The sequence below is a fragment of the Homo sapiens genome, chromosome 4 (genome assembly GCF_000001405.40).
Source record: "Homo sapiens chromosome 4, GRCh38.p14 Primary Assembly".
Classification (NCBI taxonomy): domain Eukaryota; kingdom Metazoa; phylum Chordata; class Mammalia; order Primates; family Hominidae; genus Homo; species Homo sapiens.
Genome location: NC_000004.12, coordinates 184,382,357 through 184,395,159, shown reverse-complemented (window position 1 = coordinate 184,395,159; position 12,803 = coordinate 184,382,357). Strand labels below are relative to the sequence as shown.

Below are 12,803 nucleotides of genomic sequence, written 5' to 3'. Positions count from 1 at the left end.
GATTCCAGGCGTGAGCCACCGCGCCCGGCATGCTCTGACCACCTTTATTCATCTGTTTGGGAAACTGGTATTTGGAGGCTGCTGTTTGCTAGTTTTTCCCCCTACTGATCGTTGAATCATAATCCCAGTAGTATATTACAAAACCACATTCAGTTTTGCAAGTCTGTCTTCTCCTCTGTGGTCTAAATATTATGATGAGAAAGAGAAGAGATAGTACTTGCGTTGGATGTTTTAAGACAACATAAAATTCTAGTGTGATTTGTGAAACTTTCATACTAGGGAGGGACATTTCAAAGTGCCACTTTGGGAAGCTCTGGCGGAGAGACATGTCATGTTTAAAGGTGCATTACAAAGTGACCCCTTGCCTGATCTGTGGCATCAGAATTTTATTAGGTGGTTGATGGTTTAGTAGAAGAAAACCACAGTAGAATAATGGGGTGGGGGAGGATGGGTAAGAGGGGCTGGAGAGTAGACTCGAGAAGAAAACATCATCTGAAGGACTCACTGGCTATAATGAGAGAGTGGAGATCGCCTGCTGACCAGCAGCCATCAGTAAAGGCTTTGAATCCTTCGGGAAACCACACCAGGCTTGCATTTTGTTGGGCAGAGCAAAGACACAATCGCTTTGAGATTAAGAGGATTCCGATTTGAAAATAATTTACTCCTGGTGAAAGTAATTGAGAATATGATCAATAGAAAGAAATTCAAATCAAACTTGCTGAACAAGAGCCTTCCAGAAAGTGTAGCAGAATGTCAGAGTGCAAAAAGCCTTTCAGGTGAAAATGCATCCTCTCCCTTCCCGCAGTGTTCCTGCTTAGACAATATGTATATCCTCAGCGAGGCGTTAAAAACTGGACTGGATAGAGAGTGAACCTACAACCAGTGTCACCCTAGAACTGGAAGAGCTTTTGAGATCATCTAATCCAAATCCTCCCCTTCCCTCCCACCCTAGATGCTTTCAGGAAAACTGAGACCAGAAAGGTTAAGTGAATTACTCATGTGCCTGTTGGTACTGTACGAACACCTTCAGCTTCTTCATTTGTTTGGAGTTGCTGGAGAAGCAACTCCAGACTTCTTTATTCCATTGTATTCGAAGTAAGTAATAAACAAAAAGCAAAAACAAATTCAAACTAATCAAAAGGGAAAATGAAATGACAACGTATGTTGATAGTTCGATAGTAACACTGATCTGGAGGCCCAGCTGCAGTCAGCTCCCTTGTGTAAGAAGTCAGCGTGGAAGTGGCAATGGTGGTCAAACCAAGGAAACAGAGGACACGGGGCGCAGTGCATCCAACAAAGCACTTGGAGCCACCGATTCTGGGGTCACAGAGAGAACTGCTCCCCTCAGGGGGAGGTTCAGGGTTCTCTGCTCCTAAGCTAAGGTACTGAAGGCCCCTTTTTGAAACTGTCAGTGTCCTAATAGGGCGCATCTTCCTGACGACTTCAGATGCTGTGGAACTTAATCTAGACACGACGCTCTTTAACTCGCATTTGTGTCAGCTGAAAACATAAGTTCGGAGCATGTGTATCTTTTCTTATCTGCAGCTATTTCCCCGAAGCTGAAAACTGGGTACTTAAAGGAAGTTAGCATCCCGGTCACATTCATGGGCGGTGCAAGGTCTTACCCGGGAGCCTTACCCCAGGATCTGACTTCCAGCCCCTCCTGCACCTGCGACTGGGGCTGTGCTGGAATCCCAGCCCCCAAAGCATGCTTGGTTGCGTATCTTTGTTTGTATTTGGAGGGGAAAGGAAAAGAAGACAGTGATATTTATGGAGAGTCATTAGGAGTGAAGAGCATCTGAACCCGTATGAAAGGAAGAGAAAGCTTGGCTTTGGAGCACAAAGAAAGCTAAGCATAAAATGGAAAGCGGATCTTGAAATGTTGTCAGAGACCAGAACACCAGGGAAGCAGGGCTGCTGTGTGCAGTGCACAGGCCCTGGAATCAGAAGTACAGTTTTGTTTTCTCTCCTCTGTGCTGTCTCAGTTGGCAACTTTGGCAAGTTTCTCAACATCTCTGTTCCTCATTTTTCTTCTTGGGAGTGGCTGTTCCGATTCCTGCCTCCTCAGGATACTGAGCCAGCACGAGGGTTCTCTGAGGAGGGGAATTTTCTTTTTCTGTTGGTTTTCATGTGTTTCTGCGTGGAAACAATTCTTGTGCTCGGCAACGTCAGCTCATCTTCATAGCTGGGATCGTCGTCAGCTGAGGCTGAGGGCTTCTCTGGGTCTCTGTGGCTCCCAGCACGGGGTGTTTTGGGGAAACATGCCCAGTCCGAGGAGTGGAGAGATCTGTCTTCTGCATGCTCATGGCCAGCCCACCGCGATCACTCAGGTTTGTGTGAAGTTACTGGAGAACAGTGGCTGAGAAACAGGCCCAGAGACTCCAGGCTGGGACCAGTGGAGTCCACATTCTTACTTTCCTTGTTTAAGGAATGCACCTGTGGCACAGTTTGTCCATTTGTTCTTTTGCCTTTAATTGATAGAGAGCCTGGTCTGGGGCTAATGCTCTCAGTGGAAGAAAGGGCTCTGTCTGGGCTGGAGCCATCTCATCCCAGCTCTGCCACCAGGAAGATGTGAGACAGAGGCCAGCCCCTCAGCAGGGACCGGGTGGAAAGCTGGAAGGCACTGGAGCATAAGAGCTCTTCTGCGTAACGGGGGATGAGAGCAGCTGCTTGCTGACGTGGGACCCCTGTGAGACCTGCATGCAAAGCCTCTGACATGGCACTGACCCATAGGGCTCCCTAAATGTTTGCTTCTTTTAGAACACGAGCTTCACTTTTGGATTTTCTTGTGTTGTGAAATATACGTCACCTAAAATTTACCATACTTTTGGGTATGGGGTTATTAAATTCAGCATTGGAACTAAATAGGAGGAAAGGCAGTTAAAGGTTGCCATCAGGAAGAGAAGCTATTGCAGTTACTCTTTAGGCCTTGTCTGTAAAACGAATGGCTCAGGCTAAGTGATCTCTAAATGCCTAAATATTGCACAGGCTCTGCCCTCTGTGATTGCATTTCTCAATGGTTATGGACACTGGAATAATCGCACACCATTGATATTTTATTTTACAAAATCAAAATGTTTTTACGTTTAAAAAGCTTTTTATAAGCATAGGTCATGTGTAATCACTAGACTTCGATTCCATTAATCCAGCCTGTTGTGCAAACCCAGTGTTAAGCAGTGCTGATGTATGGAGTGTGTGCTGTGTGCCAGGCCCTTGCTAGGCCTTTCCCATGTACCCTCTCACTCACTCTCCATGTAATCCTCTTAGATGGTGGCAGTGCCCTCATTTTACAGAGGAGAAAACTGCAGCTCAGTAAAGGTGAGAAACTTGCCCAGTGTCTCACAGCTGGCAGGCCAAATGGGGATGGCAACTGATTGGCTGCCATAGCCATGCAGCCACAAACTTAGTGGCTTGAAGCGACACACATTTGGATCTTACAGTTTCTTTGAGTCACGAATCCAGGCGTGGCTTAGCTGGGTCCTCTGCTGCAGAGTCTTGCAAACCTGCCATGGAGGTGTTGGCTACAGCTGCTGTCTCATCTGAGGCTCAACTGGGGAAGGGTCCATTTCCAAGCTCATGTGGTTTTGGCAAAATTAAGTTTCTTGCAGGTTGTTGGACTAAGGGCCTCAGTCTCTTGCTGGCTGTTGGCTGGAAGCAGTCCTTAGTTCTTTGCCATAGGAGCCTTCCCAACATGGTTGCTTGCTTTATCAAGGCCAGCAAGGCAGAGTGTTTCCTCTCCCAGCAGGTTTCTGAGTTATGTAACATGATCATGGACACAGGATCACATCCATTTCATCCCCTTTGCTGTATCTTATTTGTTAGAAGCAGACACATTCCATCCACACTCAAGGGAGGCAATCCCAAAGAAAGTGAATCCAAGGAGGTGAGGATCATGGGGAGCACCCCAGATCTGTCCACCTACAGTAACCCACATGGCAGATGCAACTCTAGAAATCCAGGATCTAAGTCCTAAAGGGGTGAGAGGTAAAGGAAGGATCTGAGTGGGATGGGGATAATGTAGGAAGACCTTTTGGAAACGGTCAACTCTGCACTGGGAATTAAATGAATTGGTTGGCATGGATTGAAAGACAGGACCCATGTGGGCATTGTGGACAGAGCTGCAGTGAGGAGGGCCCCAGGGACCAGCGCCCCTTCCTGGGAGGTAGTGCCCAGTGTATACACAGCCCGGCCCTGGCCAAGGGAGCCTCCTCACAGCTCTCAAGCCTGGTTTCTCCGAAGATTACAGAGTTGAAATTCACTCTAGCTTCTCCCATGTAGAATGTTTCGCTTTACAAAGGGAGGGAGGTGATGCGTTTAGTTACTCAGTCTCCTTTTTATAAACACTGCCTGAGCCTGGGGACAGCTTGAGGGACAGGAATGATGGCCCTGTGTTTTTCTCTCTGTGAACAGAAAGCGAAACGACTGATAGTGTGCCCAGCGATGAAGAGAGTGCCGAGGTAAGCCACTGCCCAGCCTGCCCACGATGCTGCCAAGGAAAAGCCTCCCGACCAGCTCCGGGCTTTCCTTGCTGCTGGTTATGCACCTTTCCTTTAGATCACAAGCTTCACTTTGGGATTTTCTTGTGTGGTGAAATATGCATCACCAGAATTTACCATACTTTTGGGTTTGGGGTTATAAAATTCGGCGTTGGAACTGAAAGGAGGAAAGGGAGTTAAATGTTACCATCAGGTAGAGAAGCTGTGATAGCAGGAAAAGGGAATTGAAGTGGAGGCTGGGAAATGCCGATGCTCTTACCACTTAAACATCCTACTTCACCGGCAAAAATAGAGCAGCCTTCCCAGCCAAAAGCAGTGACCAGTACACGTCACAAAATGCTAAGCAAAAGCCTCTTCCACGTGTGCGTGGGTTCCCTCCCGCTGTGACCCGTGCCCAGAGCTGGTTGTGTGCCCCATCTCGATTCCGAGTGGGTCCCGTCCCCTCTCCCTCCCATAGATGGGGCGTGCACAATGGCAGAAAGTGGCTGGAATGGAGATGGAAAGCATTCCTGCTGGCCACCTGCTGGGGGTCTGCGCTTGAGTGAATGAGAGAGAGAGAGGGAGGGAGCAAGAGAGAGGGAAGCTCATGGTTGTTTGAATTAGTGGTTTCCCATGTACTAAACACTTTGAGAAAAAGTGCAGGGATTCTGAAAAGACAGATGTACACGCTCCCATACACCCTGGCCTGATTTCTTCAAGGTTGCAGCTCTAGCCACTTCTCTGAATGAAGCCAGCCCTGAGGCCGCTGCTTGCTGTACACCGTGGAGCTCTAAGCCGCCCCCATTTGAAAGCAATCAAGGGGCATTCATTGCCTGTCACTAAGTTCCTCGCTGCCTTTTCTCTGAAAATGCAGGTTGGCTCAGGTTGACTGGGCCAGCATTGAGGGACCGAGTCGCTGTGCCACACTGGCCATGGTGACCTGAAACCTATCGAATAATCGGGCCGAGCCGCAGAGCACAAGGGAACCAGAAACCAAGCTGCTGCCTTCTTTTCCTGCCTTCACAGAGTAGTCTGGAAAGTATTTCTGGGAGGTAGCAAATGGGAATTGATTTTTTAAAAAAAAAGAAAAGGGAAGAAAAACCATTACTTGGCATATGAATAGCTGGGTGCAATAGATTTCAGTTGAGGGATGTAGAGGTGCTAAGCCTTTGTTCATTCTGCAGTTCTTAAGAAACTCAGCTAAAGCACCAACACATGGGAACGACACATTTTTCATTTTAAAATTTTTTTTGTGGGTTGTTGTTTTGAGACAAGGTCTCATTCTGTTGCCCTGGCTGGAGTGCAGTGGCGCAATCATAGCTGACTGAGGCCTTGACTTACTGCGCTCCAGTGATCCTCCCGCCTCAGCCTCCCGAGTTGCTGGGGCTAAAGGTGTGCACCACCATGCCTAGCTAATTCTTACGTTTTGTAGAGATGAGGACTCGCTACATTGCCCAGGCTGGTCTCAAACTCCTGAGGTTAAGTGATCCTCCAGCCTCAGCCTCCCAAAGTGCTGGGATTACAGGCATGAGCCACCACACCTGGCCAGTGATGCATTTTTAAAAAGCCATCCAATAGAAGGAGAAGGAAATACATATCTTAATTACTTTCTTGAAAGGGGCGGCCACACTGGCGGAAGAGGAATATTGAAGGCAAACAGTACCTCAGCAACATGGGGACTCGAGGCTCCTACCTGCTGCCCGGCATGGCGTCCTTCGTCACTTCCAACAAACCGGACCTCCAGGTCACCATCAAAGAGGAGAGCAATCCGGTGCCTTACAACAGCTCCTGGCCCCCTTTTCAAGACCTCCCCCTTTCTTCCTCCATGACCCCAGCATCCAGCAGCAGTCGGCCAGACCGGGAGACCCGGGCCAGCGTCATCAAGAAAACATCGGATATCACCCAGGCCCGCGTCAAGAGCTGTTAAGCCTCTGACTCTCCGCGGTGGTTGTTGGGGCTTCTTGGCTTTGTTTTGTTGTTTGTTTGTATTTTATTTTTTTCTCTCTGACACCTATTTTAGACAAATCTAAGGGAAAAAGCCTTGACAATAGAACATTGATTGCTGTGTCCAACTCCAGTACTGGAGCTTCTCTTTAACTCAGGACTCCAGCCCATTGGTAGACGTGTGTTTCTAGAGCCTGCTGGATCTCCCAGGGCTACTCACTCAAGTTCAAGGACCAACAAGGGCAGTGGAGGTGCTGCATTGCCTGCGGTCAAGGCCAGCAAGGTGGAGTGGATGCCTCAGAACGGACGAGATAATGTGAACTAGCTGGAATTTTTTATTCTTGTGAATATGTACATAGGCAGCACTAGCGACATTGCAGTCTGCTTCTGCACCTTATCTTAAAGCACTTACAGATAGGCCTTCTTGTGATCTTGCTCTATCTCACAGCACACTCAGCACCCCCTTCTCTGCCCATTCCCCAGCCTCTCTTCCTATCCCATCCCATCCCATCCCATCCCATCCCATCCCATCCCGCTCTTTTCCTACTTTTCCTTCCCTCAAAGCTTCCATTCCACATCCGGAGGAGAAGAAGGAAATGAATTTCTCTACAGATGTCCCATTTTCAGACTGCTTTAAAAAAAATCCTTCTAATCTGCTATGCTTGAATGCCACGCGGTACAAAGGAAAAAGTATCATGGAAATATTATGCAAATTCCCAGATTTGAAGACAAAAATACTCTAATTCTAACCAGAGCAAGCTTTTTTATTTTTTATACAGGGGAATATTTTATTCAAGGTAAAATTCTAAATAAAATATAATTGTTTTTTATCTTTTCTACAGCAAATTTATAATTTTAAGATTCCTTTTCTTGTTTATCAGCAGTTGTTATTACATCCTTGTGGCACATTTTTTTTTTTAATTTTGTAAAGGTGAAAAAAGCTTTTATGAGCTCATGTAGCAATCAGATTTTCCTGTGGATTGATAATAAATGAATATGATATATAGTTAAATTTTTAAGGGGCATCACTCCTGGCTTTGTCTGTGTCTGCTTTAAAAGAGCATAATCACGGAATAGGACTGACAAAGGATTGTTTCTTTTTGGGGACCAAAATGTTTTCCCTTGTTGACCACAAGAAACCGTGGAGGTTCTTACTGTGAGGCTTCAGTTGACTTCTTCTCTTGAGTGCTCGCCTGAGCAGGGGCCCGTGCTGAGCGTTTTGCATGACTTCCCGTCTTCATTCATCACACTTGTGCTGTAGAATAGGCATTCATCTCCATTTCATGTGGAGGAAATGAAGACTGAATGTGAAGATGCCTTTACTTGGCTCATAGTGGCACTAAGAGGCAAGGGCACAAGTTGGGCACAAGTTGAGCCCAATTCTCTGTGCTATGAAGGGGGTCTTTTTTCTTGTAAGCATATCCGTTATCTCAAATGTCTGTCTTCCTCTGTGTTGGGAGCATTCCCTGTGGAGGGGGAGTATTTTAGCCACGCCACTGGTTTCCTTCTCTGCTGTGAGCAAGGTTCACCCCACTCTGTGTCTTTCCTGTTTTCATCCTTAGGCTTACACGTACGACAAACGTCTTGTGTTTATGTCACTTAGAGGGGTGCATGGATAAGACATTTTCCACAACAGGAAATATGTATTGGGCTCTAACACCATGTCCGTCACTCGTCTTTCTAGGACCCGAGGCCTTACACATAGACCGTGCCCTCAAAACTTGGGGTCTGTCTTGTGGAATAAAAGGGGTGACTTCAAGAACACCAGTCTTTATCAGCCACTTGGTGTTTGAAGGTATAGTCTTGGCCTGGAGAAAGCCACAGCACCAGCCTCCCCTGCATCCCCAGTATCTTACTCTGTAAAATCAGAATATGAAAACTTTGCTACCCGCCTACTACCTCTGGGGGGTTGTGGAGGAGATTGCTAAGTTAATATTTGAAGAGGTTCCTTTAATGAAAGGACAAAAGGCTATTTTTATGCCTATCTCCATGTGTGGCTGCAGATATAATTAGCGGTCATAAAGTTATCCAGCCCTGAATGGAAATCAACTGGAGCATTTTCCTGGCGGATGCGTTGTAGTTGAAATGCCACACACAGAGGCGGGGCTGCTTCTGGAAGGAGCACTTTCGTTGACTGTCTCAGTTTCTCAGTGGAAGGGGAGTTATCAGGAAGAAACAGATGCTCCCTGGCTCCTTGGCACCCGACTTTTCAGTTAAGACCTGCTCTTCCCCCAGGTCCTGAATGGAGAAGTTCAGTTCTTTGAGACTTACATCTAAAATGTTTTACTGAGTCATCCTATTTTAAATAAATTAACAAAACAGCAACGGAAGGTTGCCCTGAGTCACGTGGCCTGGTTATCAAAGGGTTTAAGGTAGCTCAGGTCTCCTCCCCCTTCCTTCTTCCCAACACAGACTCAGGGCTTCTTCCTGCATCTCGGTCCCGAATGCCATTCCTGCTGCCCTCCCCTTGCTTCTGTAGCGTAACTAGACTTCCCAAGGCCCATCAAGTGGAAGAAAATTCAGGACTTGGAAATGCACCATTTAAGTTCCAGAGATGATACTCCATTGCCAATAAGGCCATGAAAAACAGAATCATGTTTAAAATCCTTCTGAGAAAGCCTGTATTGTTTCTAAGTGATACTTGCCAGCAACGCAGGAAAACAAGCTAGTCTCAGGATGCCTGGGGTTGACATGGGGAAGGAAAACAAAGGCATTGGGGCAGCTCCTGGACCCAAGCCTCAGACCTTGTCGTCACTTAGAGGAAGTGCCAGGGACGCATGCTTCTGGTTGGTATTTGTGTGAGCTGATAGGCTTTGATGATGGGCTTGGGTGTGTGTGTGCACGTATGCGTTTAATAGCAAGTTCAAGTTCAGTGTAACTGCCTTTGGAACAATAGTTTCCATTCTCTGCAGCCAGTACCTGGGTCACTCCCTTGATAATGGGCTCACTGTACAGCTGTGAACTGTGAATTCAGGGACATGTATTTCTGCCCAGCCTTGAGGTTGCAAGCACCCAGCACATCCACACACCTCGATGAAAGGGGCTTCTGGAATGCCATTTGCACATCTAAATAAATCCACCCTCAACCGTACTGTTTTGTCCGTGTTTTGATGAACCACTGCCAAAGGTGGTATTTAGTCTATTTCAAAGGATTTGTAAAAAAGAAATACACATGGCTATGGAATACAAATTCTTTGGACATCAAAACCCTAAAACAATACCCTTTCCCCACCCAAATCCCAAGTGTACCGTACTATCATGTAACCACTACTGAGACAGAGATTTTAGAAGTGAAGGAGATGAGTGATTTGATTTCAGGAGTCTGAGTTTTCAAACTTGTGCTTTTGGAAGTGCTTTGCATGTGAATGGAAAGATGGTAAGCCCCAGCTGGCCTCCTGCCCCTAATTCAGAGAGATGGAACATGAGACGTTCCTTCTGCTTGAGGCCACTCTGTAACCTGCGTTCATTAGGCTTTAAAGGCCCCCTGCTATTGTAGTTTTGGACAAATAAGCCCAGATAAAAGGTTAAAAAAAAAAGAACCCCCACTATTCTGCCAGATTTCTCCTGATAAAAGACAAAAGCTAGGGAAAGGTTTACACACAGGTAGCCAAGATGAGTTCATTGGCATTCAGGGGTCAAACAGCTAATGTCTGAGTGCCAGTTTGGTTTGGAGGCACAAACTGGTTTTTACATGGTGCCGTTCAGCCGCCTACCTCACCCTGAAACTCCATCCCACAGTACAATGACGTGCCTGGGGCCAGAGTTATCAGAGCAGGTGGGACGTGACTCTGACCTCCCTCTGTCCCCAGGCTGCAGTGGACCCCTCCCAAGGGCAGTTGGGTGACACCATCAGCTTCTTGAGGCTGCTTCTCACTCATTTGCACCCCAGCATGTGAATCAAGGTTGGGTACTACTAGGCTGTCATCCCTGGGATCTCCTCCTCCCCAGAGCCCCACCATCCCGGTGTCAAAAGAACAGGGCTGGGACTGTTGGCTTCACCCCCTTAGGAATGTGTCCAACCACAGGCCTGGAGAGGAGAGCCCGGCCGTGCGAAGCTTCAGGTCAGGAGATGCAGGAAGCTGGCAGGAGTCAGGGGGAGATGCTTTTTCGTGAGGCTGTCTGGCCTCTGGGTCCCCACTGGCCCCATGGGACACTGGTACCACCCCCATTCCCTGTCTGGGCTTGGGCATCACTGGTCCTGCTGTGCAGACAAATGAGGGTTTTGTAGAGGTTTGCTTCTGTGGCCACACGAACAACAGGTGCAGAGGCACTGTGTCTCTGCTTCCGAAAATAGTGCCTGGAAGGAAGGAAGTGGTCAGGCCTAATAGCTGGTTTTAGCAAAAATGTTAAGTCTATCCAAGAACCCGGGTTGTGCCGTGGAAGGATCAAGATGTAGCACATTTCAGAGTTCACATAGTCTGAAAACAGCCTGCTCTGGAGTCTGACCAAGTTTCTTCAGAAGAAAAGCAGTGTGTGTGCTTCTGTTCCTGTAAGCACACTGCCCTTTGGAGGTTTGGTCAGTTTCCCCGTATCTGCTTTATAAACACGTTCAGACAGAGATTGCTGGTGCTGTGGAATGTAGTGTGCTGGGATTGTGCAACTGCTGCCCAGTTAACCCCTTACATGCTTGGCTGGAGAAACACCAATATCACATGCAACAGACTGTGTCGCGAAAACAGTTAATTTTAAAAACACAAATTTTTGTTTTGCAGGTGCAAAAAAACTCCAGAGTGATAGCATCTTTAAGTTTCACTTTTGGTTGGGAAGCATATTTTAAAATCTAAACACCCAAACATCTCTCCACATGAATCATCAGGGAGAGGATATCCAAGATGTTCTGGCAGCTTGGGTTGTGTGTCTGAGAATACTCTTATTCTCCAAATTTTCTCTAATATGCCAGTTCAGAAGCGTTGACATTTCGAATCCACACATTGCACCGGAACTCACTGCCTGAAGTTTCAGGATAATGTTAGCAGCGAGATGGGAGTGCGTTCCTTAATCGGGGGAAGGTGATGACTAAGCCTTTATTCATCCCCAGAATTAACATTGATCCATATTTTCTGCAGAGTTCACTCTGCTGGATCCCAAGGGGACTTCCCCGGTGCTGTGACTCAAGAGCACATGTTTATGCTGCAGTATCTTTTCTCTGGGAAGCTCATGTTTCGAATGTAACTGAGATGCAGAAAAGATTTCACAGGCTCAGCTCTGAAATATTCAGGGTACAAGCAATAGAAATTTTAGTAAAAAACATAAAATACAACCCAAAGCCATTGCTTGGATTTTACCTGATGGTTCCGGGGATCCTGTGCAACACAGCTGATATGGGAAGGAGACCACAGGTGGATTTGTGTCTTCAAACTTTTATTTGCAAAATTGATCTAAAGTAATGTAATTACAGTGCCTTTCTCAGCAACTAAGATATTTAATTAGGATAACCAATCATCTTTTTGCCCAGAACTGAGGGGATTCTCATGAACATGGGGCTTTTAGTGCTAAAACCAGGAACGTCTCAGGCAAACTGGGAGGGGATGTCACCTAAATGTAATGCTGAGTTACATAGCACAAATGATATTTTGTGTTTTTGGAGGATTTTTAAAACCCAGGTAAATGTTTCATGAGGAGGTGTTATTGAGGATATCTTGTCGATGACCCTATTAATGCATGAATTTAATGTGGTGTTTGGTTAAGAAAGGTAGATTTCGTTCATTCAACCCTATGTACTGAATTCCTGCTATTTTCTAGTACTCTTCTAAATGTCAGAGAGTTGTCACAGAAGTGAACAAAACAAAGTATCTGTTCTAATGGAGCTTAAATCCTAGTAAGGTGGACAATCAACAAATAATAAAAATAATCTTTGGGTGACAATCACTGCTATGGAGAAAAACAAAGCAGGATATGGAGTGATGAAGATATTCAAGGCTTTCATTTTAGAGCTTAAAGGATCGATTGCGGGGTTGGCTGTTGTGAAAACCAGCAGTTAGAGGGAAAGAAGGAAAACAGCATATATCAATGGGGCTTAGTTGCAGGAAGCAAAAACCACGCCAGCTATTTTAAGCAGAAAGTCATTGTCTAGAGAGAAGCAGGTGTTTACAACGTCGTTGGGAAGGCTGGAGGAGCCGGCTTGCGGGTGCTTCCACATCTGCCACCACCGTAAAGGGAGGAAATCAGGAGCCTGTCACTGGGAATAGTGACTCCGAAGACACATTGTTTTAGCTGAAATCTGTTCATTAGAAAGTTCTGTCACCACCACTTTAATGTCTCTCGACACCCATGCAATCAGTGGCTGAACTTTGAGACATGGCTTCAGAAAGCCCCGGTGTTACCACAATCATGCTTGCCAGTGTTTACAGCCAATCAGTAGGAAGTGGCTTCTGCCTCCATTCT

At 46.5% G+C, this 12,803-nt stretch overlaps 1 protein-coding gene across 1 annotated transcript in view, besides 8 other annotated features; it reads left to right on the top strand.

The window, feature by feature from the left end:
• The window catches only part of IRF2 (interferon regulatory factor 2), an 86,822-nt gene extending 79,391 nt beyond the window's left edge, over positions 1-7,431 (top strand). The window contains exons 8-9 of the mRNA NM_002199.4: positions 4,411-4,457; positions 6,094-7,431. Coding sequence (NP_002190.2) covers positions 4,411-4,457; positions 6,094-6,402 — 356 coding nt within the window. The 3' untranslated portion in view covers positions 6,403-7,431. The remainder of the gene's footprint in view (positions 1-4,410; positions 4,458-6,093) is intronic.
• Positions 1,533-1,708: a silencer, noted in NCBI's record as "fragment chr4:185314606-185314781 (GRCh37/hg19 assembly coordinates)". NCBI's record gives its function as "represses an EF-1alpha promoter that drives an FKBP-Casp9 reporter gene in an ReSE screen in K562 erythroleukemia cells {active_cell/tissue: K562}" and the evidence as "EXISTENCE:reporter gene assay evidence [ECO:0000049][PMID:32094911]".
• Positions 4,556-5,289: an enhancer, noted in NCBI's record as "NANOG-H3K27ac-H3K4me1 hESC enhancer chr4:185311025-185311758 (GRCh37/hg19 assembly coordinates)". NCBI's record gives its function as "activates a minimal SCP1, AML or CMV promoter by ChIP-STARR-seq in primed H9 embryonic stem cells {active_cell/tissue: H9 hESC(primed)}" and the evidence as "EXISTENCE:reporter gene assay evidence [ECO:0000049][PMID:30033119]".
• Positions 5,290-6,023: an enhancer, noted in NCBI's record as "NANOG-H3K27ac-H3K4me1 hESC enhancer chr4:185310291-185311024 (GRCh37/hg19 assembly coordinates)". NCBI's record gives its function as "activates a minimal SCP1, AML or CMV promoter by ChIP-STARR-seq in primed H9 embryonic stem cells {active_cell/tissue: H9 hESC(primed)}" and the evidence as "EXISTENCE:reporter gene assay evidence [ECO:0000049][PMID:30033119]".
• Positions 8,029-8,787: an enhancer, noted in NCBI's record as "H3K27ac-H3K4me1 hESC enhancer chr4:185307527-185308285 (GRCh37/hg19 assembly coordinates)". NCBI's record gives its function as "activates a minimal SCP1, AML or CMV promoter by ChIP-STARR-seq in naive H9 embryonic stem cells {active_cell/tissue: H9 hESC(naive)}" and the evidence as "EXISTENCE:reporter gene assay evidence [ECO:0000049][PMID:30033119]".
• Positions 10,306-11,065: an enhancer, noted in NCBI's record as "H3K27ac-H3K4me1 hESC enhancer chr4:185305249-185306008 (GRCh37/hg19 assembly coordinates)". NCBI's record gives its function as "activates a minimal SCP1, AML or CMV promoter by ChIP-STARR-seq in primed H9 embryonic stem cells {active_cell/tissue: H9 hESC(primed)}" and the evidence as "EXISTENCE:reporter gene assay evidence [ECO:0000049][PMID:30033119]".
• Positions 10,306-12,082: a biological region, named in NCBI's record as "CDK7 strongly-dependent group 2 enhancer GRCh37_chr4:185304232-185305431".
• Positions 10,883-12,082: an enhancer, noted in NCBI's record as "CDK7 strongly-dependent group 2 enhancer chr4:185304232-185305431 (GRCh37/hg19 assembly coordinates)". NCBI's record gives its function as "activates an origin of replication core promoter dependent on BRD2, BRD4, P300/CBP, MED14 and CDK7 cofactors, with strong dependence on CDK7, by STARR-seq in HCT116 cells {active_cell/tissue: HCT116}" and the evidence as "EXISTENCE:reporter gene assay evidence [ECO:0000049][PMID:35650434]".
• Positions 12,556-12,645: an enhancer, noted in NCBI's record as "active region_22214". NCBI's record gives its function as "activates an Ori minimal core promoter by ATAC-STARR-seq in GM12878 lymphoblastoid cells {active_cell/tissue: GM12878}" and the evidence as "EXISTENCE:reporter gene assay evidence [ECO:0000049][PMID:35858748]".